This window comes from Homo sapiens, chromosome 2, assembly GCF_000001405.40.
Source record: "Homo sapiens chromosome 2, GRCh38.p14 Primary Assembly".
Lineage (NCBI taxonomy): Eukaryota > Metazoa > Chordata > Mammalia > Primates > Hominidae > Homo > Homo sapiens.
In genome coordinates, this window is record NC_000002.12 from 54597472 (window position 1) to 54621227 (window position 23756).

Genomic DNA, 23756 nt, shown 5'->3' on the forward strand with positions numbered 1-23756 from the left:
GTTGGCCTTTGTCCCTGGGGAAGGGCCCTCCTTCTGTCTGGATGGGTAGGTCCTTTTTGGGAAAGGCAGGACCTCAAGGAGCCGCTGACTGTAGCAGGTGGCCGGGGATCTTGGCAGGTGCCCCAGCTGATTCTCCTGCCAGGTCGGCAGCTGTAAAACCTCAACCAATGTCATCTCTGCCTCATTCCCTCCCTGTGGTGGGTGGTGGAGTGAGTTTAGCAAAGCCTTCAGACAGACCTTCCCAGGGTGTTGGGCTGTTTGCTGTCCTTCTGGCCAACCTGAGAACCCAGTACTCTCAGGCGACTGGGCACATGCCTTATTAGCAAGGGTGGCTTTTTAGTTGTTACCCCCACCCAGTGGTTTTGAAATACATGCCAAATTGTTGAGCTATCTGCTTTTTTTTTTTTTTTTTTTTTTTGTAGATTCGTGTGTAATTATTTTTGTCATTTGGGTTTGCACTAGGAGTAGGTCTTAGATTTTTGGCATAAATTCATGCTGGTGGAACTAGATATAGTGTATGTAACATAGAGAACAGAGTCAGGGAGTAAGAGTGGTTGGGTCCAGGGTACGTTCTGTGGATGTCTGTTGAAGGTCTTCAGCAACCTATGTTTAGAACATTCTGCAGAGGCAAGAAGTTTGAAAGCCTATTTGTATGGTATGTGAAGGCCAGTTCTGGGCAAATATGTCTAGAGTTTTATACCTTAAATTGGACAGAATTTGATTACTGAGCTTTGAAAAACCTTTAACACTGTTTCCTGGATGACTTGAATGTACAACAATCACGCTTTAGACCATAAATCAGCAGTTGCCTTTTCAGCGAAGGATCACAGTATGGAGATTATATTTTTCTTCTCCTTTTATAGAAGAGAACATTGAATCCTGTGTTGAGTCACATTTTTGTTGAAACCTTGGGCCCAGACCCTGCTTTCCCGATGCCTGCAAAGACTTCCCGATGCCTGCGATGTCTTTGCACTCTACCATGTTGCTTGCCATTTTCTTTTGTTGTTCATGGTGTGTGTGACTGAGCAGGTGAAGACGGTCATTGCCAAGGTCATGAGTTAATTTATCTTGTCCAGTGTTGCCCAATCCTTTGTAGATGAGGGAAGCAGTTTTCTGCTGTCTCATGAGATTTCCTACCCTACACCCTTTAATATACTCACCTTTTGGAGGAATAATAGCTGTAACATGTATGTAGGAAGCTTTACCAGTCAAGTATTATGGTATAGGGCAGGACTGCAAAGGACCCTGTTGTCATCTGCATCCTGCTGCCTCTTCAGCAGGGATGGGAGAAAAGAAAGGGGAGCAAAGGATGTTCTGCTGGCAGTGTGCCTGGGAGCTCACATGTTTAAGGACTGGACAGTTCCTACACAGATGCTCCTTGACTTATGAGATTATATCCCAGTAAACCCATCGTAAAGTCAAAAAATTGTAAGTTGAACCATCAGTAATCAGTGTTCTTTCTCAAAGACATGACCGCAGTTAAGGGGCGCTAAGTAGAGGTGTCCTTGGAGGTCAGTTTTGCTGACCTTCCTCTGGCTGGGGTCTTGTGGCCCTGCTAGCATGTGCCTGCTCCTGCCAGTTCTGTGGTCAATGGTAAAACAAGTTCTTCTCTGCTTGCAGATGAGCGTGAAGCCGTGCAGAAGAAGACCTTCACCAAGTGGGTCAATTCCCACCTTGCCCGTGTGTCCTGCCGGATCACAGACCTGTACACTGACCTTCGAGATGGACGGATGCTCATCAAGCTGCTGGAGGTCCTCTCTGGAGAGAGGCTGGTGAGTGGAGACCTTAGGAAGTGCCGTGTGTTGTAGGTGGAAAATATTTTTGAAAAATCAAGTGTGACTTGTCTCCTGTTGAATTCTGCACTTAATGGTTGATAGTTTTGAGGAGAATCTTGAGAAGTGAGTTGAGCGCTTCAGGGAGAGCCTTAGTGTCACATTCTGAGCGTGGATGATGTTCTTGAGCTGTAATAAAGCCACTTTGTTCTGGTAATTTGCAAGGTTGCCACCTTTGGTCAGAAAGAACTTGGCTGGGGTTCCTGCCAAGAACAGGGCATGGTGCTGGAATTTGAAGGGCCAGGCTTGGGCGCTGGCTTCTAGATGAACCTGTGTCCCACATGCGATGATGGAATGTTTTCTAAATTTGTGTCTTTCTGGTTGTCTAGAAAATCTGAGCTGCCATCTTAAGGTGGCAAGCATTGAATTCAGTGGCCACTGATGTTTTCTTCCCTGCACGCTTTTTATTTTGGGAGTGGAGGGAGAAGCTGGTGTTTTGTCATCTCCTTGGGAAAGGAGCTTCTGATGAATTCACCCTGCCTTTTCAGGCAGGAAAGTTGTCAGCCTGCAATGAAAATTGTATCCCCAATCTGTTTCCCAGAGCTGCTGCGGCCCTCTCTGATGTGACTCTTGTTTATGCACCTTATACCAAAGAAGCTTAAAGCAGTCACTGTGACTGATCCAACAGGTTTTGTCTCACCTTGGTTTGAAAATGGTTGCTGTATCCTCCCAGAGCACATGTAGTGCCATAGGTGGAAGTGGTGCCGAGCCAGAAGCCAACGCCCAGAATGGAGACCACATCTGTACTGACATCACCAGGAAAATATGATGCTGGCAGTTGGCAGGGCTGCCAGAAAGCCTTATTTTTAACTTGATCTCCACCCTGTAGCTTGCCAGCCGCAGTAGGCCTGTGTGCAGACCTGCCCCACACCTCTGACCGCAGGCAAGGGTCTAAGGTTGTCCCTTGTCCTATTTGTTATCAGCTCAGAGACAGACTGCCTCTTTGAGTCTGGGTTGAAATGGAGCCAGAAAAGTATTCTCTTCCCTGCCCTTCAGTTCAAGAACAGGGCTCTCCAGAAGATAGTGAAGCCCTGTCTTCTCTGTAGTGAGTTTCATCCATGCCCTTTGTTCCTGAGCATGTAGGTCTTGTGGCCTCATTTTCTGTGAGGGTTTGTCGGTCACACTAGACAAACTAGACAAATAACGGAGACCCCTGCTCAAAACCATGATGGCTATAAGAAGGCAGTTGATTTGTGGTCTGGGGGTGAGGGAGTGGACCCACATGGGGAGTTTGAACAGGCCATTTATTGCATTTTGATTTGATTTTCCAAAGTGAGTCTTGTTTGAGAGCCTAGACTAGAATTATTGTGATATGCAGCTTTAAGTATAATTTTTATAACCAGACTTCCTTTGTCTACCTCTCAACCTTTTTTTGTTTCTTAGTGTTTAACCTAGTATGTTTATTTATTGATTTTTTTTTTTTTTTTGTGGAGTGGGGGAATGGTGTTTTGAAAGTAGCTAAAAAAAATCATTAAAGGTCACATGGATAGGAGTTAGTCTGAACATTTATTTTTGTGGTTTTTTTTTTTTAATTTATTTTTGTTCCAATAGGGTCCAATCTTCTAGGCTGTAGGGAGTAAACTGTTCACCTTTAAAGACCCATAATTATTTTATACCAAGAAGATTGTGTCCTTGATAATGTCCACATCATAAATGGGATCAGGCCCATTGCCGTTTTTTCTGAACAGGGCAAGAAAAATATAAGTAGGGAGAAAAACCAGTAAAGCATAATTCTTAGATGTGTGTGAGTATCTCCCACTCCTCTCCTTATTTGTTAGCAGTAAGTTTTTTTGTGGCAACCCAGAGACCTAGGAGAGTAAGGATGAAGAAGATGGTACAGTGGCTACCATCTCCAACCTCTTAGGCAGTCGATATCAGTAGTTTTACAGAACTTTGTAAAGCCCCTAGTGCCTTCATTTGTATTACCCATTCTTCACAGCCATCTTGGATTATATAGGTTGGCCAGTCTAATTTTCTTATTCCAAAAATAAAGATACCATAGATAGAGTGCTCTTAAAGCTCTTGTTCATCTGGGCTGGAGATTTTAAGTCTCTTTGGCCTCGTAGTCTGTTTGGTTCATGGAACTTCCTGGAAAGGAAACACACCACACACTGCCTTTGGCCGTGGAGGTTGCCAGGACCTCAAGTTAAAGATCCTCCCTGCAGAAGACCTCCATGAGAGCTTGCCCCAAAGGTTCCTTGCATATTCAGATTCCAGAACTAATGAGGTGGTTAGAGCTTCCAGGCCTGGGTAAATGAATGTCCCAGCTAAGTGTGTCATCAGATAACATTAGCTGGGCTTTCTGCACCAGTGGTCCAAAACCCTGGGTAACATAAATGTTTGCACTCTATCTGGAGCCCAGTCTTTGTCAGCCAGCATTTTAGCCCCAGCACTTAACCACCAGCTTGGCAATAGCTAGCAGATAAATGTTTGAGGGACTAGGTGATTCAATTTACTTAATTAATAGATTCTTAGAGCCACTTCCTTTACAGAGGAGGAAATCTGTGAATGTGTGCATGTGTGTTTTCTGAGTAAAGTTCAAAGAAACATTAATGACCCAGACAATTCCACCCTCACCCCACCCTGGATTTTGGCTCAATAATATTTGAGTTAAATATGAGCAAGTATCATGTAGGCATTTGGGAACTTGATTTTGAACTACTCAGCAACATCACAAGGCAGAGATCTCTGGTCCTGGCCTGGTTATGATCTGTGTCCAGAAGTGTCTGCTCCCTCTCGGTCTCAGGTGTATCAGCTCATAGAGCAGTGAGAAGGCTGAGAGCTGGGCCAGGAAGCTTCTGCTAGTCAGGATTAGATTGATTAGAAATAAAACTATTCTTTTCTCATTTCTTATTCTGAGTTCACTATAGTCTATAACTCTCCATAAAGGTCTCACTTGAAAAATGCCTTAGAAATACAGACCCACCCTTTACTTTAACATTGGATTGGCAGATAAAAGTGTGAGCACAGAACCTGTGCTGGCCACTTAGTAATTAGACCTAGATCTCAGGACCAGAGTAGAATGAGGCTTGAGGGGTGATGGTTTGCCCTGCAGCAGCGTTGACATGTGGAGAGAGAGGAGCCCCTGGCATACGATAGGCCTGCACTTCAATGGTAATGTTCTGCCCACAGCTCATAATCCACTTTAGATGCTCCCCATTGCCTGCCATCTCCCTTCATGGGCGTCTGCAGTGAAGATTGATTCTCACTATGGTGGCCAGTTTTTTGCCTTGCTCCTGGCCAGACTAAGCCCTCGCCTCTGACCGAGATAGAGTGAGGTTTTCCAAACAACTCTGCCCTCCCCCAAACCCCACCAAGTCAGTTATCACTGGTTTTTGCTTCCCTGTTGTTTCCTGATCTGTATTCTGTCTTCTTACTCCATCAGTCATTCTCTGAGAAAGCAACAGAAAAGAGTGTGTGTGTGCGTGCATGTGTGTGTGTTTGTGTATGTTGCCACCATTAATTTCAAAGCAGGCTGAGCTAGGTGGAGAAGATAGATTTAACATGAGATTTGTTAAGCCTCAAATCCCACGTTGAACTGCTCTGAGTTTTTTCATAAAGCCTTTGTTTAAGAGAACCATACTGGTACATATTGTTTATTGAAATAGTGTTTGTGGACTGGCCATGGAACCTCGTTGGGGTTTCTTAAAAACGTCATTTGTATGGGAGAATTTACTTTTGTTTTAAACAACCAGCCACAGAACTCCTACATTAAATGTGGGTCTAATCACACAAACTTGAGAAGTGAACTAAGAGTCCTAAGTGCCACATGATAAAGTGCCAGATGAATGGCCCCAGAGCCCTAGAGTTCAGAAGGGGAGATGAGCCCTCTGGACAGGATGTCAAGAAACCTTAGTAGGAGGGTAGGGTGTGGGTAGGGTTCCAGCTGGGTCCAGGAGAAGAGCTTCACAGGCCGGGCAGCCAGAGTGTGAAAGCTCATAGTTTGGACTAAGTGAAGAGAGCATTTGGAGGTAGCAGGCATCAGGAACTGGCGCAGGGCAAGTTTCCCAGCCAAACTGGAGGGGTTTTTTTTGAAAGGAGTGGTGATGGTAACTTCCCTATCACTTGTGTTTACAGAGTACTCTCCTACTCTTTTCTCATTCAGTTCTTACAGTCTAATGAAGTGGGCAACCTCTGCTTTACAGAAAACAGTTACCAGTGACTTGCCAAGGCCAGTGCTGCTAGTAGGCGATATGGTGTGGACTGCAGCCCACCCTGCTGACTCTTCAGCGCCTCCTTTCCCATGGAGCCCTTAGGAGTGGGTCCCAGCTGGGAACAAGACAGGCAGGAAGTCATGGGACACAGTGTGGTATTCCCCGATTAATTGTAATTGGGCCAAAATAACTAATACTCCTCTGAAAGCTCAAAGTTTCATGTGTTGGGAGGAGTTTGGGGACTAGTGTGAAGTGAGTTTGGCTTTGTAGCATATTAGAAGAAATTTTGGAATTAGTGCTTCCCATCCTACCCTATGTATTCCGTAGAGGCCTTTGTTTGTGAATGTGTATAGCAAAAATCTATGTTTAATTAAAAGAAAAAAACATAAGCAAGTGCCTGTCACACTGATTTGCTGAGATCAGTGTCTTCTGTATTTCCTCTTCACCTGAACAAGAGATTGGCAGACACTGTAGACTTCAGCTTTGGTGCTAGTGAGTCCTCTGTCCTGCAACACCCTGTAGATTGTTATCATACAGCTGTAAGTGACTTCAGTGACCACCAAGTTAAATCCCCTCACTTGGTAGATATGGTAAGTCAGGGAAAATAAGTGACCAGCAAGGCCACCCAGCTGGGTTATGGCAGATCTAGGCCTCATTGGCCTCTCTCAGTGCCCGGGGCTGTGCTCTGCCCAGCACCACAACCCTTGATAGTTGTCACTCCAGGTAGCTGCAGGGTTTCTTTGGACACGTATAGAGAAAGAAGGGGCAGGGAGTACAGGGTGGAACAGGGCATCGCAGCACCCCAGAGACCTCCCAAAACACCCTGCCAGAAACCTTCCCTTATATCTTCCTCTCCTATAAAAAAAAGAGGCCAAATTAGCTCTCAGAAGCTTTTTTTTTCTTTCTTTCTTTCTTTTCCTCTCCATCTCTGGAGTGACAAAACCTTTGCGGTTGTAATTACTCCATAGTTCTGCAAATCCTGATGCCTTGCAGAGTGTAAATGACCCAAACTCAAGGCTGGGCAGGCAGGTGGGACAGAGCCAGTGCCCCAGGAGGGATCACCCAGCCCCCTCCTTCCTCTCTAAGGGTTTTTGGTCCATGCGAAGGAATTGCCCAAGGCCATACTGCTTCTTAGGCAGGGCCTGGACTGGACTCTAATAAGCAATTAGAATTATGTTGTCAGATCCTAGAGATGTTTATGTAGCCCCTTAAGTTTCCTCTCCTGTTTTAGAGCGAGAAAGAAGATGGGCCTGGGATGGAGATATGGCTGGTAAAGGTTTAGGACTAGACGGGACCTTGGGAGGGGGAAACAGAAAAAGTGCCTGTGAAAAAAACACAGGAATCCACGGACTGTAGTGTGAGGGGAAGGGAAGCTTCTTAAAATGATTTAAAGGAGGATCAGTAAAAATAGGCATTTCCTCAGAGGAACTGCTCTCTGCCTGCAGAGCCCCGATAGTCACAGGAGTCTGGTATCGACCCTTGGCCCCACGTTAAGGGCGTTTCAGACTTTCCTGTCAGAAGTGACACAGAAGTGCACATGTTGCTGTGGGGACGGAAGCATGCCGCACTAGGGAATCCGATGGCCAATAATGGAGGCAAGACAGAGGACGCTTCTTTCCTTTGCAGAATTAGCTGCTCTTGGGGCAGGCTTCAGAAAGTGTTTACTGCTGAGAGGCGCCCCCTCCCTCTGCTCCATTGTGTTTAATTCTCTATTGTTACCTCTTCTTCCTTTTGAGAAGATGAAGTTTGGCAATATAAAAATAGCTCTTTAAAAAAATGAAAACCAGCCACCAGATGGGAACCGAGTCCCTCACTTCCTTTCACATGGAAGCATGTACCCCTCTTCCCTGTATTCTGGGTTTTTCCTGTACTGTAAAGAGGACGAGCTTTAAGTCCTGGTTCACCACATCCTAACTAGCTGGTAGATTGCTTCATCTCTCTGAGCCACTGTGTCTTCATGTATAAAATGACAGGAATAGTAATTATTATAATGCAGGGTTACTGTGAGGATTAGATGTGATCACAGTTGTCAACCACCTAGCAGGGAGAGGTGAACACACAGTAGTTGCTCAGTAAGTGGCAGCTATGAATTTTTAGATCTTGGGAACTTTGAAGTTTGTATGACCAACATGTTTCTATGGATAGCTCTGTGAGATCATGATCACCTCTTGAAATTAATTTCTTGTAATTACTGCTTCCTAAACTTGCCCAGGTATTGTGCTTTAAAACATGTGAGAAGCCTACTCTGAAGCAGATAGAACACACGTTGTGGGAGTGTGTGGTGTACTTGAGTTTTAGTCTCAATTCCCACTCCTCTCGTATAGTACCACCAGGAGGTCATCTCACCTTGCTGTATCTTGTTTATTCTTGTTATTCTGTGGCTTGCTGGTTTTTGAGTTGCATCCAGGTCTGGAATGAACCATCCCTTAGTTCATCTGGCACAGCCAGTCGCCATCAGCATGGGGTCCCTGTGATGTGGCATTGAACTTCTTCAACCTGCGTGAATGTGTTTGGGCCCCATCACCACCCTCCCCCTCCCACACCCTGGACCCCATGTTCATGTGGAAGCACACACACATTCCATTGAGATTTGTAGAGAGAGAATAGAGTTGTGGAATGTCTCATACATGTTTCCTGTTTGTGGGGAGGAGATTCTGAGAGGACCACTTTTTCTACCGCATTCATTTGAATGTAAGTCAGACAAGTGATTATTTGAGATCAAGCTTTCAGGATAAAGTCTGAAAGAACATTGGTTATGTCCTGCTGGTTGGAGCCTGGGAAGGTACCGACAGTCCCCATCTATTCATTATTCTCTTCCTTAACTTCTCATAATACCATCCACACTGTCGCCTCCACCCTCTTGGAGGGAGACTTATGAGAATGGCTGCTGCAGTTAGAAGTTTCTGTCCCCCTTGATCTGCAGTTCCCATCATGAAGACACTTTGTTTGTGATGGAAACAGCACATGTAGCTGGACCACTCACTATCTCACTGCTCAGGTGCACGAACTGACAAGAAATGAGAAGAAAAGGCCCCTGAACAGCAAAAATGTCAGAAGCCCCTGCACCTTTCTTAGAGGCAGTTAATCCCCATCCCTCAAATTTGAACAGTTTTGAACCAGGAGCTTCGTTCAATCCAGAAACCACCTGGATGTGAGAAGAAAAGGGGCTGCTGTGAATAGTCACGTTTCAGCATGAGAAATGATAGCTGATCCAGGAGACAAAAGGAAAAACTTAAAGAGCACACATGAGAGCCATATGCAGTTCTGTGACTGCTGGCGGGGAGAGCTGCTCCACCCACCTCTTCTAGGGCGGCACCGATTACACAGGCATCCCTTTCTCGGATAGGAGCGTAATGGTGTCTGGGCCAGCTTTAGGAGGCTGACGGGTGTACCGTGGAGAGAGAGCACCAGTGTTACCTCAAACAGCACTTGCAGAATCAGAGTTACAGAATTTTAGATTAAGCCCACCCGTATTTTATATCTATTTTTTCCTACCTCGTTAGATTGCTTGATTTTGATGCAACCTGGCATTGCACAAATAGCAAATTCTAGCATTTCCCACATAACCGAATTAAAATCATTTTGAAGTTTCTAAAGGCAAAATCCACCTCTTTCTTTTTTTGGGGTAAGGAGGATATCACATTAATGTGAAAAGCTTAATGTTTAAAGACATTTCTTTTTCCATTGCTATTATGGTCTGGTTCTGCATCTGCAGATTTAACTGACTGCAGGTAGAAAATATTCAAGGGGAAGAACAATGAAAAATAACAATACAGAAATAAACAGTGATACAATTTTTTAAAAATACAGTATAACAACTATTTACATACCATTTATATTGTATTAGTTACAAATAATATAGCCATGATTTAAAATATATGGGAGGCCGGGGGGCTGGCTCACGCCTGTAATCCCAGCACTTTGGGAGGCCAAGGTGGATGGATCATTTGAGATCAGGAGTTCAAGACCAGCTTGGCCAACATGGTGAAACGCCATCTCTACTAAAAATACAAAAATTAGCCAGGCGTGGTGACTGGTGCCTATAACCCCGCTACTTGGGAGGCTGAGGCAGGAGAATCTCTTGAACCCAGGAGGCAGAGATTGCGGTGAGATCGTGCCATTGCACTCCAGCCTGGGCGACAGAGCGAGACTCTGTCTCAAAAAAAAAATTAATAAATTAATTTTTAAAGTAGATGGGAGGATGTGCATAGGTTATATCAAATACTGTGCCGTTTTATATAAGCGACTTGAGCATTTATGGATTTTGGTATCATTGGGGGTCCTGGAATCAATCCCCTGTGGATACCAAGGGACAAATATATTTGAAAATAAAATTTTTCTACTTGTGGTAGGCCTCTGCACATAATCTTATTTCCTCAAGGTCAACCACATTCTTCTGTTTTTACTTGTCCTTTTTTATAGGAGAAAAGAAAGTGAAAAATAATAATCTGAGACTGGACAGACTTAAAATGGCCGCTTGTTACCCAAGTAACCTTCCTTTCAGACGTTTTCCGTACAGCACATAGCTGAGGATCTTAACTACCCAGGGGAAGAGCAGGGAATGGACAAGATACTAAGGTAGGGCTGGCTGCTGCCCTTAATTGCGTGTACCTGGGTTGCTGCAGCCTGGCCCCCTTTCCCCTGTGAGGTCCGCTCAGCACACACCAAGCCCAGTCTGTCTGCTGGCATTCAGTTCACTGTGCACATAACTCTGTGCTCAGAACTGGACCAAAAACCCCTGAGAATATAGAAGTATAAAGCCTCATCCTTGCTCTTAGGAAGCGAACAGTCTAGTTGGAAGTAATAAGAGCAATAAATGAAACAACAGCAAAATTATAATGATGAGTTCCTGGGCTCTGTGGTCCAGCCTGTTAGTTGTAGAGTTGTGAGGAAAAGAAGAGCTGTGAGAACCAGAATGATTGGAAATGGGAATGTCTCCGGGAAGGAAAGATGGGCCTTGGCCTGAGCCTTGGAAGGTAGGTAGGTGTGATGAGGTGAAGAGATTGGGAAGTCAAGATGATGGGTCACAGGCTGAGTGCGTTCTTCTACATGTGGATGTGTGCATCCTCCTGGCATCTTTATGAGATGGTGACATCAGCTCCAGGTGCAGCCTCTACTAGAGGGGGAGTGATGGGAAATAGGAAGGAGAGAAGGATGGAGCCAGATGGGCGAGGGCATGAGCTTGGTGTTGGTACAACAGATAATAGAAACCCATTTTGTGTGCGTGTGTGTGCATGCGCGCACGAGTGCGCGCATGCACACACACAGTGGATCCTTGAACAAAGCAGGGGGTTTAGGGGCACCAACCCCATGCCGCTGAAAATCTTCCTATGCATTTGATTCCCCCAAAACTTTTAATAGCCTACTGTTGTCTTATCAATAATATAAACAGTCAATTAACATATTTTGCATGTTATGTGTATTACATTACTGTAGTCTTAAAGTAAGCTAGGGAAAAGAAAATGTTAGAAAAGGAAGAGAAAATATATTTGCAGATTCATTAAGTGGAAGTGGATCATCATAAATGTCTTCATCCTTGTCTTCACGTTGAGTAGGCTGAGGAGGAAGGTGGGGGGATTGGTCTTGCCATCTTGGTGTAGTAGAAGTGGAGGAGGTAGAAGGGGAGGCAGAAGAGGCAGGGACACTTGGTGTAACTTTATGGAAATAACACAAGCAGTCTTGAATAATTGGAACCCTTGGAACAAATTCAATTTGTTTTCTGGTACTGCTTTTACATCCTCTTCCGCATCATTTGTCATCTTTTTGGAGACACTCATTTTCATCAAGTCGTCTTCCGTTAATTCTTCTGATGTGGTGTCTGATAGCTCTTGAATTTCTCCAAGATCCGTATCATGAAAACCTTCACCCCTCTACCTTTTTGCCATATCCACAACCTCTTTCATAATTTCCTTCATTGGCTCTGTCATAAATTCTGTGAAGTCCTGTGTAACATCTGGACATCATTTTCTTCAGCAGGAATGTATTGTTTCAGGCTCGATGGCTTTCACAGCTTTTTCTGTAACAATGATGGCATCTTCAGTGGTGTAGTCCTCCCAGATTTTCCTGATGTTCTCTCTGTTGGGGATTCTATTCCATAGCATCAACAAATCTTTCCATAGAGTTTTGTGTAGTAATGAGCGTTACAAGTCCTTATGACCCCTTGATCTAGAGGCTGAATTAGGGATGTTGTGTTTAGGGGCCAGTAGACCATGTCAGTGCCTTCAGTGTTGAACTCATGGGGTTCTGGGTGGGGGCATTATCCAATACCAAAAGAACTTTAAAACGCAGCCTCTTACTGGCAAGGTACTTTGAGACTTCAGGAACCAAAACATCAGTAGAACCAATTCAGAAAACCGGTTGTCATTGTCCAGGCCTTCTTTTTGTACAACCAGAAGACTGGCAGCTGGTATTTATTTTTTCCCTTCAAGGCTCAAAGGTTAGCAGCCTTATGAATAAGGGCAGTCCTGATTATAAACCCAGCTGCATTTGCACAGAACAGTAGAGTTAGCCTATCCCTTTATGCCTTAAGTCCTGGTGCTCACCTCTCTTTCTCTTACTGGGCTTTTGTGAACAGGGCACTTTCGTCTGCATTAAAAACTTGTTGAGGCAAGATACACTTTTCCTTCATTGATTTTCTTAATGGTGCCTGGGAACTCATCTGCTGCCTCTTGGTCAGCAAAAGCTGCTTCTCCCAATTCCTTGACATTTTTTAAGCCAAACCTCTTTCCGAAATTATCAGACTGGGAGCTCTGTGAACCTTTCCTGGTTCTGAGGGCTACCCAATTAAAAATTAATAGTCATGCCATCCTTTGCTGGTGTTACATTCTCCAGCCTTAGATCCTTCACCTTCCTATGCCTTTAAATTGTCATATGATGACTTCATTTTTTCTCAAATCATATTAGTCCTTAGGTATGCCTCTCTTATGGCAATCCTGCACTCACATAAAAGATGCATTTTTAATTAATTCATTATTTATTTATTTATTTTGTAGAGACGGGTTTTTGCCATGTTGTCCAGGCTGGTCTCAAACTCCTGGGCACAAGCAGTCTGCCCGCCTCAGCCTCCCAAAGTGCTGGGATTACAGGCATGAGCTGCTGCACCCAGCCAAACGCTGCATTTTCAATATGAGATAAAAAGATATTTCACAAAAAAGTGCAAGGTCTTTGCATCTGCTGGTGTAGCTTCAGGGATGGCTTCACAAATTTCCTTTTCTTTTTTTAGTCTTCAAATGGTGGGCCACCACAACTGTAGACCTCAATCTACAATACATAGCAAGCAGTTCATCCTTTTCTTGTAATGTCATGACTTCTCTCTGCTTCTTGGGAGTACTTCCAGCATCACTAGTGGCACTTTGGGTCTCATGATATTAGTCAAGGTTTACAGTATTGCACTAGACACTGTGAAAAATACACAAGAACTGTGAGAGATGGCTTTTTACTGTGATACCCAATTTACTAGAGAGACCACGTGGAGATGATTAGCATCATAGGCATTTTAAGTAGGCACTCAACAATACTTGAGCTCATCACAGTAGGAGTTAGAGATGGCTCTGAAATTACTATAGTAGTACAGTACATACCAAGATTTAATACTGCTCAAATGGTGCCATTACAATCTGTGTTTGTGTGTATGAGTTTTGATAATTTTTAATTTTATGACAGATTTGTATATATTTTGCGGTAGTAAATTATAAAATAGACTAACATCTATATATATTTTATGCATTCATGACATACCTTTTTCTTAATTTTTCTGGTATTTCTAGGCTAGGCCATTCATCTGAATCTTTTCAAATTGTCACCAATCTCTAAAAAGTTTTCCAGTTTATTTATTGAAAAATATCCATGTATAAGTGCATTTGAATAGTTCAGGCCCAACTAAAGGTCAACTGTGTATATTTACTATATTTTTATAGTAGATGTGTGTGTGCTTTTACAGGAGACGTATATATACTTCTATAATAGTATATTTTATAGTAGATGTATATATACACATATGCATTATCTACTCTCTCTCTATATATATATTTTTTGTTTGTTTGTTTTATTTAAAATGTTCACCTTCCAAGGGCCTCTTTTACGTTTTGATAAAACTGGGTAGAGGGAAGAAACATTTGGGGTATTTAAATTGCACTACACTCATTTTTTTCCCTTTTCCCCTTCTTTTCAGTAAGTTATACTTCTTTACTTAACCTTCACCCCATCCCTCCACACACAACCACCACTTGGAAATTCTTCTGATTTGATGGTTGTGTTCCCTGTTTTCATTTTGAGCCAAGCTTAAGGGTTGCCAGCAGGTGGCAAACCTAATTTTACATTCCAAGTAATCAGAAAATCCTCACAGGTGTTTTGTCATGCACCTGCAAAAAAAAAAAATTGTATGGATGGCAGCAGTAGCGCTGAAATTCTCCATGAAAATTGGATTCTCTCTTCCCTGAACTTAAACAAATGCTCATTTGTAAACTATATAGCTCCACAACTATTCTCTAAAGAGGAATCAGTTATCATCCCCTTAAGTAAACTTTTTTTCTGTGGCCGTTAGGTAAATACCGTCCTTGGACTTAATGAGTACATGTGTTTGTTAATGTTCTGCTCTGAGCGGGAGAGCATTGCATGAATGGGCACATGTGACTAGGCAGTAACTCGGGGTTCATCTCTACTCTGTTGGGTGATGTGTCTCTACCTCTGCTCTCCTGTTTCTAGCCTAAACCCACCAAGGGACGAATGCGCATCCACTGCTTAGAGAATGTGGACAAGGCCCTTCAGTTCCTGAAGGAGCAGAGAGTCCATCTTGAGAACATGGGGTCCCATGACATCGTGGATGGAAACCACCGGCTGACCCTTGGCCTCATCTGGACCATCATCCTGCGCTTCCAGGTAAGGGTCTCTGCCCAGGGTTGCTCAGAACTTAGGCCGACCTCTCAGGTATGAGCATTGTTATAGAGCTGGCCTCCCTGTATCAGAGGGATCGGGAAGACCAGGTTGAAAGCATGTCTCAGAGTCATGTGTGTCATATCCAGCCCTCAGAATTGAATGCTGCCTCGTAGGCACGTGGAAGCTACTACATCCTCCTGCAATTGTACTAGCCCTGGTAATCTTAGCTTTCCTGTCAGACACATCTCAGCGGCCCAGGGGCTTCTAGGCTGCATCCCAGCCCGCCACTTTGCTGGCACCTGCTCTAAACATCTGGTCTCTGCTGCTTGGCTCTCAGGAGCAAAGGTATAAGGACGTGGCCAATGCTAGGTTATTAGCTTAGACTGCCTCAACTTCACTCAACTATGACATGTGTTACAGAACATTTTTTGGCAAAGCTGTTGAGGGTTATGGCATGTGTGTGGGCTCCATTTTCACCTTCTCATTCTCTTTGGATGTGAGGAAGCAGTTTGCAGGAGGAAAGTACAAAACTCTTGTGTTTCTTTGAATTGATGATGCTTTATGGGTTTTGTTATACTTGAGGAGGAAGGCTCTAAGTATAGAAGTATTTTAAGCCGGAAGGTACTCTCAAGGTCATTTTGTCCACTTCTTTCACTTTATGAAGAAATCGGGGACCCACAGAAATTTGAAACCTTGCCTCTGATGACACAGCCAGCCAGGGCTATAGTGGGTGCCTCTGACCCCTTAAGAGAGAGCGCTCAGCCTTTTGGGACTGTGCACCACCACGAGCCTGATTATTGGTTCTTTCTCCAGGCTCATGCTTCGTACTCATGCGTTCCAATTAAAATTGGAAAGGCAGGAACAACTTTGTACCATAGTGTCAGGTTTCTCTGCGAACAAATATTCTAACAGTCCTGTCTCCTCAGTGACTGTGTTCTCTTGCCATTCCTTCCTGTTCTGCCCCTTTAATAAAGATCTGTTTTGATTTTTCTGGGTAAACAAAAACCTCACACAAAAAGGAAAAACGAAAAATCAAATTATAACTTGCTTTGTTTTCTTATTGAAACTCTGAAATCAGCCTGTCAACAGTCCCTTTTCCTTCTCACTTGCCCTACGATTGGGCTTCAGTTAGTGTCGTGATTATATATGTGGGAAGAAGGGGTAGGGGACTAGAATGAGTTACAGGAAGAAATATCTTCCTGCCTGGCTGGTTCCCAAGCTGGCTGATCATCTGATGCCTTTGGGAAACCCTTTTAATAATTCAGGTTCCCAGGGCCCAGCCCTAGTAGTTCTGATTAAGTAGGTCTGAAGAGAGAACCACTGTTGAAGATGGTACAACATCATTAAAGGAGTTAATTACAGCAATCAAGGACATTTTTCCCCAGATAGAACTCTTACATTTCTGTTATTTAGTTCCTGAATGATTTGAAAATGGAGTAGCCATTGAATCCACTAATTACTGCTCTTGTGTCTTATGGCAACAGAGGTGAAATTATTAGCAGTACACTCCTCTAGCTTCACCCCAGTTTTATGGAGTAAAATGTTGTATTTCTGTTAGCTTTGGCCTGCAATAATCAGAGCGTGGAAGGCCATCCTGACTGTGGGCTATCTTGACAGCGGGTCAGCACCCAGGTCAGGGAGCTGGCACACACAGCCCTTTTCAGGATTCTCAGCGTGAATTGCTTTGAGTCATTGACTAATTCGCTTCCTGCCAGTTTGCATATTCCTATAATTCAACTTGTAAATGCTGATGTGTATTTTCTCCCTTTCTGTTGAGGTGAGAGGCATAGGCTGCTGATGTTACCGCGTGGCCTGCAGTGTTGTTGTCTTAAATGACTCAGCTTTCTCCAGCAGCTTTATTAAAACATTACCTATTCTACAAAAATAATATGATTATGAATCAGCCAAGGCCCAGCTGTAGATATCCAGCATATCTATAAGGATACTCCACATATCCTTGTAGATACATAGGGTCAAGCTTCCCTGTGTACCTACAACGGTCTCTCCTTCCACCAGCTCCTGAATATACGGTTTTACAAGTTCCCAGTGTGTGTGTATGTGTGTGTGTGCGTGCGTGTGCTCTCATTGCTACCAGGATATGGCCTACCCTATATGTGCATAGAAGTGTCCATTAAATACTGATGATGACACAGATTTTATGATGCTGCCCCTTTAAAAGAGAGTATAAGGGCCAGGTGCGGTGGCTCATGCCTGTAATCCCAGCACTTTGGGAGGCCAAGGTGGGTGGATCACTTCAGATCAGGAGTTCGGGACCAACCTGGCCAACATGACGATACCCTGCCTCTACTAAAAATACAAAAATTAGCCAGGTGTGGTGGCAGACACCTATGATCCCAGTTACTTGAGAAGCTGAGGCAGGAGAATCGCTTGAATATGGGAGGCGGAGATTGCAGTGAGCCGAGATCACACCACCGCACTCCAGCCTGGGCGACAGAGACTGTCTCAAAAAAAAAAAAAAGTAAAAGATGGTGAGAAACTGGAGTGGAAGTCTCTAAGTTTGCCTAGTTTAAATAGGGAGCTGTCTTCATTTCAGAAGGGTAGGCTTTGTTTCCATATGGGCAAATCTGGAAACAGATACCCTTCACACAGAAGTATAAGAAAGCCAATGGGTTAATGTGTGTAAAGTTGCAGCCTGACTTTCCTGGTGAGCCTGTCTCTCACCCCTTGAGTGAGGGTTGTTCTTCCACATTCCCTTTCTGCACTTGAGCTAATGATCCTAATATTAGAGACTGGGGTTTATACAGACTCAGGCTTCACCTTCTTAACACAATTAAAAATAGAGAATTTTTTTTTAATGTAGTTGTTTCAATTCCCAGGTGTTTTTCCTAGTTGAAAGTTTCTAACTTTTTAATCCTGTATTTATATATTTTGTCTTCATTTTCTCTGTTTTTCAAAAAGAATTCTGGGAAGTGTTTGTAGATTGAATGGAGTGAAGGTAGTGGGGAGCATGACAGAGCAGCGAAGCTTAAAATGGCTACAGCTGGAGGCAATGGATGGACTCCTGGCCAGCACCATCCACTCCTGACTCCATTCCACATTTTACTCTACAAGAGGAAACTTTCATATAATAGACAAAAGTGTATTTGGAGCATTTGTCTAAAATTACGTAGCTGGCAGTTGGCGCCTAATCTAAAAACTAACATTCACAGACCCTTATTACGAGCTCTGCACTTTATTATATCATTTAAGTGCATAACAGTGCTGTGAGATTAGCCACTGTCATTATTTCCATTCCTCAGATGGGGAAGCTGGGGAACCTGCCCAAGGGTACATGGTAGGTGATGGAGCCTGGATTCACATCCAGGCAGTCTGACTTTGGTGCCAGCCGACCAGGCTTTGTGTATAATGTTGCAAATATGCTGCCTCTGAGCGGCTTATGAAGGCACACCATGGAAGCACAGCGTTTAAGCCCACACTTGCTCTAATAGTTTGGAAATGGTGCACACAGTGCCCTCATCAATGAAGGTTGCACGTGGTGTGAAAAATGTTTACTTACAAAAAAACCGAACTCAGTATTTTTCTGGGGGTCTGGTGAGATTCCAGATGCACTGTATGAACCCCTGTGCTAGATTCTCACTGGAAAGATGGGTTGTCTCAGGGGTAAAAATGACCTCTGATAGGTGCTGGGAAGTCCCGTCAGCCTTCTGTCTGTGTGACATAGAAAATGTAGTTTTCGTTGTGTTTCTGAAGTGAGCCCAGACTTCAGGAAGCAGTTTTCATTGACAGGGTAGATCGTCTGCAGGGCAAGGCTATGATCTACAGTTTATTCTTTATGTATATGCAGACCTGTTCTTCAGTGGTTCTTTTAGGCAGCTGACCCATCTATTTGTCTAATATTTCTTTGTAAATCTTAGATCCAGGATATCAGTGTGGAAACTGAAGACAACAAAGAGAAGAAATCTGCCAAGGATGCATTGCTGTTGTGGTGCCAGATGAAGACAGCTGGGTGAGTGTGAATGAAGAGGGTATTGGGGCTGCTTCTTCCAGGACTGAATTCCACTGCAGTCATCACTTAGAAGGTGTTGACAGGTATCTTTTCCACTGCTTCCATTGGGAAGTCTTGTTAACTCGCAAGCAGTTGATATGACTTTTCAATTAGCTCTCAGAATGAAAGGAGCTCTAATTTATATTTTAGACCTGTCATGTCTTCATAATCAGTTTCCTTCTCTTTATTAAGGAAGCTCCAGAGAGCATTATATTTTGAATTTGAAAACCCTGGAAGCATGCTTAGGAATCATATCCATGATATTTTAAGAATACAGTTGTAGGTTTTCTTCACCCTTTAATTTCTGTTTTGGGGAGCTTTCTTTGCACAGTAAACAACAGCATAACCTTTTAATATTATCTGTGTCAGTTTCCCTTTTATTTTTTCATTGAAATTTCAGTGAAGTTGTTTTTAGAGAACCACATCTTTTTTGTTGCTTACTATTGTTAGGACTCAACTGATGCTAAGCCTTCGAGTTCTTAGCAAATTGGTTTAAGGTCATAGGTACTTACTGAGACCCAATTTTAGGTTAATTAGATTTACTGTCAGAACTACTTTAGGTGTAGATGTAACTCTAATGAACATTAATTCAGAATATGAAAATCAGAACTCCATCCATTCTGAGAGCTAGCTGAAAAGTCATCATGTCTATAAAGAGCTTATGGCCTAATAAAAGGGTCAAGTCAGGTATGAACCTTTAATCAGCTACTGATATAAAGTTATTAATAGTCAATATGGTATAGAATAGCTGATTCATTATGGGTAAGTTTCACACATAAATTTTTCAGGGAGGTACTACTTTTACAAACTTCATCCAATTAAGTGGCGTATGGAAGAAAGAAAGCTGAGTGTCACTTGAACAGATAGTCCCACCACTTCTTGTCCCAAAGTAACGTGTGACAAGGGACTGCAGGTCCTGGTGTCTTTGTAGGTAGAGTAGAAAGCCAATGGAAGCAGAGGCCTCAGAGGTGTCTAGGTTGTCGTCACTTTTTCCTAAGTAAGAGTAGTGTTTTAAATCTACGACACAGTTCACATCTTTTGTGAGACTGAATTACCAAGCAAGAAAAGCCACATGGATGCATGTTTTATTTTTATTTTATGGCAGGCTCGAGTTGACGGATTATTTGTTCTGACTTGATTGTCCTTAGTGATATTCACTGCTTTAGGTTTTACAATGCTTACAGACTTTTTATTAACAAAGCACTTGGCAAAAGTATAAACCTCCATGTGGTAATTGTGTTGCTTTTCCCTTCTGCTTTGTCCTTGGCAGGTACCCCAATGTCAACATTCACAATTTCACCACTAGCTGGAGGGACGGCATGGCCTTCAATGCACTGATACACAAACACCGGTAAGTCCATACAAATCATCCTAGCAATCGTGGGGTAAAAGGTTGCTGTCCTTCCATAGCAGATTTGGGTGACTTTTCCATATCCGTTGGCTTAACTGTCTCACCGTGGTGGAAATTTCTGCATTCCATGTGAGGAAAATATGGGAGAATATATAAATTCTTCCAAACAGAATAAACAGGTTCTCCCTTAATCTTTTTTTTCTTAATTAACTTTGAAGTGTTTATTCAAAAATCAGGTTTCATTGTTTGATGATTCCATGATAGTATATTTTAGAGTTTTACTCCACTAATTGGTGATTTTAACCTTTTTGGAGTAACAGTCATGTTTCATTAGTCATATTTCTTTTCAAGCCATGATTTTTGTTGTGTCCCACTGTTGTTCTGCACAGGCCTGACCTGATAGATTTTGACAAACTAAAGAAATCTAACGCACACTACAACCTGCAGAATGCATTTAATCTGGCAGAACAGCACCTCGGCCTCACTAAACTGTTGGACCCCGAAGGTAGGGACTCAAGGGATTACAGGTGGGATTTTTAGCATCTGTACCATCCAGGTGTTAATGTAAAATCTGTTTTGTGTCAGTCTGTTTCATTTGGGAGTTATCAAAGGAAGAGCTTAATTTTGGTTATGGGAATTTTTTGAGGATTTATGGAAAGGATGACACTCAAAAAGGCCTTGAAAGATGAATACGATTTAAACAGAGTCTGAAGGAGAGCGTGTGCGGGCAGAGCTACTAGCATGTGCAAAGGTGCAGAACCAGGAAAGAAGAAGGTATGCTTGAGGGCTAACAATTCAATGGGAATGGTGTTTAGGGTAATAGCAGGGAATACCACTATTCCCTTCTGTTAGTGGATGGGATCCCCATAGGGGCAACAGGCAACAGGGAGTCATTGAAGGTTCTTAGCAGCTGTGCTCGAAGTAGAAAAGTAGAAAACCTGGCATAGGCTGTTAATGAATACTTGTTGGCTGACATTTATCTGAAGGTGGCAAGCAGGTTGGATGGGGATGGGTGGAGATTGCAGGCAGGGGCCTTGTTAGGAGGCTGTGCTTTGCTTATGAGCAAGTAAGAGTTTAAATGAGGAAGGCACCTTTGGGAAAGGGGAGTGTAGGGGTGGAAGGAGCAGCAGTCATAGTCCTTTCTTACAGCTGCATCCCATTATCTGCACGGAACTAATCCCTCTTTACTCTGTGAGTCCCTGTGTAACTTGGAGCTGACCTGTTTGGAGCAGTTCCCCAGGTTGTAGTTCCCTTGCTTAATAAAATCCTAATTCTGGGTTTCATTTCAACATGAGCTCTCATAGGAACTTTTTCTAATTTTGAGAAGCATTTAAAATATCTGGATTTGTTTGAAGTGCTGGAGATATATAGATCCTCTCAGCTGTGAACAAATATTAGAGAGGAAAAAAACTGTGTGTATGTGAGTGAAAGTTTAAAGTTCTTTTAAATATAGAACAGGAAGTTTAACTCCCCAAAGGCAGATCAAGGTCATGAGGCTGCCAGGCAGGCTTCTTGCTATTTTCCAATGCATCAGATTCACTGATATGTTGGCTACAGGAAGCTGAGATAAAATTATCTTTGTACTAACCCATTAAATGGTTTCTCAATATAAACAGAAAACTAAAATTCCTTGGGCTTCGATAAATCTTCATGCTTAACCCCTATCTTACTATGGGAAGGAATTTTTCCTTAGCCCTAGTTCTTTGTGCTTTGATAAAGAACCTTTTTTTCCCTATCGCAGTGACAACATTTTTTAATAACTTGCTCATTAGTTAATCTTTCAATCACCGCCCAGTATGAAAAGGGGGATTGATGTTCCCCAGATCACAAGACGAGGAGCTAAAAATGGCAGCTGATTTCACTTTTATCCTGTGGGTTTGATCTTGATTATTAGTTGTCCAGGGCTCCAAAGAACATCAGTTAAAATCTACTTGTAGACAAGTTAAATAAAAAGTTTTACCTTCTCACTTCTTTGAGTTTTGTTGACATTTTGTGTTGATTAAATTGTATACCTACACTGGCATTTTTTCTGGCTGTCCTCCAGTTCACTCTCCTTTGTGCACACTTTGACGGGCTGAGCGGACACAGGAGCCCTGGGGTAGGGAACAGTAGCTGTGATTCTGGCCCTCACAACCACGGGCTGCCTTAGTGACCCTGGGCAGGGAGCATGCCAGCAGTGTGTCCTGATGTTCTCTTGTTTAAATTAAGAGAAACAATTTTGCTCCATACAAGGCTGTCAGGGGCGGCGATAGGAATGGGGGTGTATGTATGAATGTATATTGAAAAAGAGCCTGATAATATCTGTTAAGAGCTGTCCTTTGTGTTCTCTTCACAACCTATCCCAAGTTGAGTGCTTACTCAATATTGCCGAACTTCAAAGACTTGCCATTTTAAGTTGTTTGTTCCTTCTCTCAGTACCTATTTATTGACCACCTGCTTTGCGCAGGACAGCACAGCGGGAATGTGGTAGGTGGAGTGGCATAGGGGCTTGCCCGGACAGGCTTCTGCCCTTGGGGACTGAATTTTGTAAGGCAAACAAAACATGCATAAAAAATCATAACCTGGCAAAAAGTGGACTATGTGTCCATACAAAGCCCCAAGGGAATAGAGGAGGGAGACAATAATGTCAGCTGTGGGGATCATAAATGGTTGTATTGGGTGGTAACTTTTGAAATGGACCTTGATGGATAGTAAGAAAGTTATGGGGTCATGAAGGCCATTTCAGACAAAGGGAAGTCATAAGTTAAGGAAGGCGTATTGGAAATTATGTGTGTATAGGGAATGGTGAGGTCAAGTTTGATTCAGAGATACAGTGCTAGGTACAGTGGCTCTCATCTGCAATTTCACCTCCTTAGGAGGCTGAGGTGAGAGGATTGCTTGAGCCCAGGAGTTTGAGGCTGCAGTGAGCTATAATCATGTCACGGCATTCTAGCCTGGGTGACAGAGTGAGACCCTGTCTCAAAAAATTTAGTAAGGAATACAGTGTTTGAGAGGTAGTAGGCTATAGAATTTAGAAATGTCTAGACCAATGCTTGACACTTAAAAGAAGCCTGGTGAATATTTGACAAATTGATGGAAAAAAGGGAAGGAAAGTTATAGCCAGATTCTGGAGGACTGAAGCGCTTATAGTTTATTCTTCAGACTGAGTAATTTTGAGCTAGGAGAAACTGTGTTCACAGCTGTGCTTCTGAAAGATCAGTCTGGGTGCACTATGTGAAGGAAATCGGGAAAGCTGGTGGAGGGAGCCATTGTTTCAGGGCTGGTTATGTGACAGGATGGGTCTGAAACATGAGTGACAATAAGGATTCCATAAATAAGGGTCATCCCAACTTAGACTCAGTGACTAGCTGCTGGATACTGGTAACAAAGAGATAAAGATATCCAAAGACTGATTGACAGGGGGCGGTGCTGGTCCTGTAGGCAGCAATGAGGACTCAAGCAGAGCTAACCCAGTATGGTAGTAGGGCAAGGAGAGGAGGAACTATGTGTCTGTGGAAGGCGTTTCATGAATATTCACATAATGGGGAATCAGTGAGATG

The 23756-nt window shown here is 43.2% G+C and overlaps 1 protein-coding gene across 13 annotated transcripts in view, besides 1 other annotated feature; it reads left to right on the forward strand.

Moving 5' to 3' along the window:
• Nucleotides 1-23756, forward strand: part of SPTBN1 (spectrin beta, non-erythrocytic 1) — a 215120-nt gene that overhangs the window by 141145 nt on the left and 50219 nt on the right. For all 13 annotated transcript variants that reach the window (NM_003128.3, XM_017004781.2, XM_017004779.2 and 10 more), the window contains 5 exons: nt 1621-1772; nt 14690-14863; nt 18736-18827; nt 20137-20217; nt 20607-20722. In NM_003128.3, the coding sequence (NP_003119.2) occupies nt 1621-1772; nt 14690-14863; nt 18736-18827; nt 20137-20217; nt 20607-20722 (615 nt within the window). The remainder of the gene's footprint in view (nt 1-1620; nt 1773-14689; nt 14864-18735; nt 18828-20136; nt 20218-20606; nt 20723-23756) is intronic.
• Nucleotides 58-107: an enhancer, noted in NCBI's record as "active region_15765". NCBI's record gives its function as "activates an Ori minimal core promoter by ATAC-STARR-seq in GM12878 lymphoblastoid cells {active_cell/tissue: GM12878}" and the evidence as "EXISTENCE:reporter gene assay evidence [ECO:0000049][PMID:35858748]".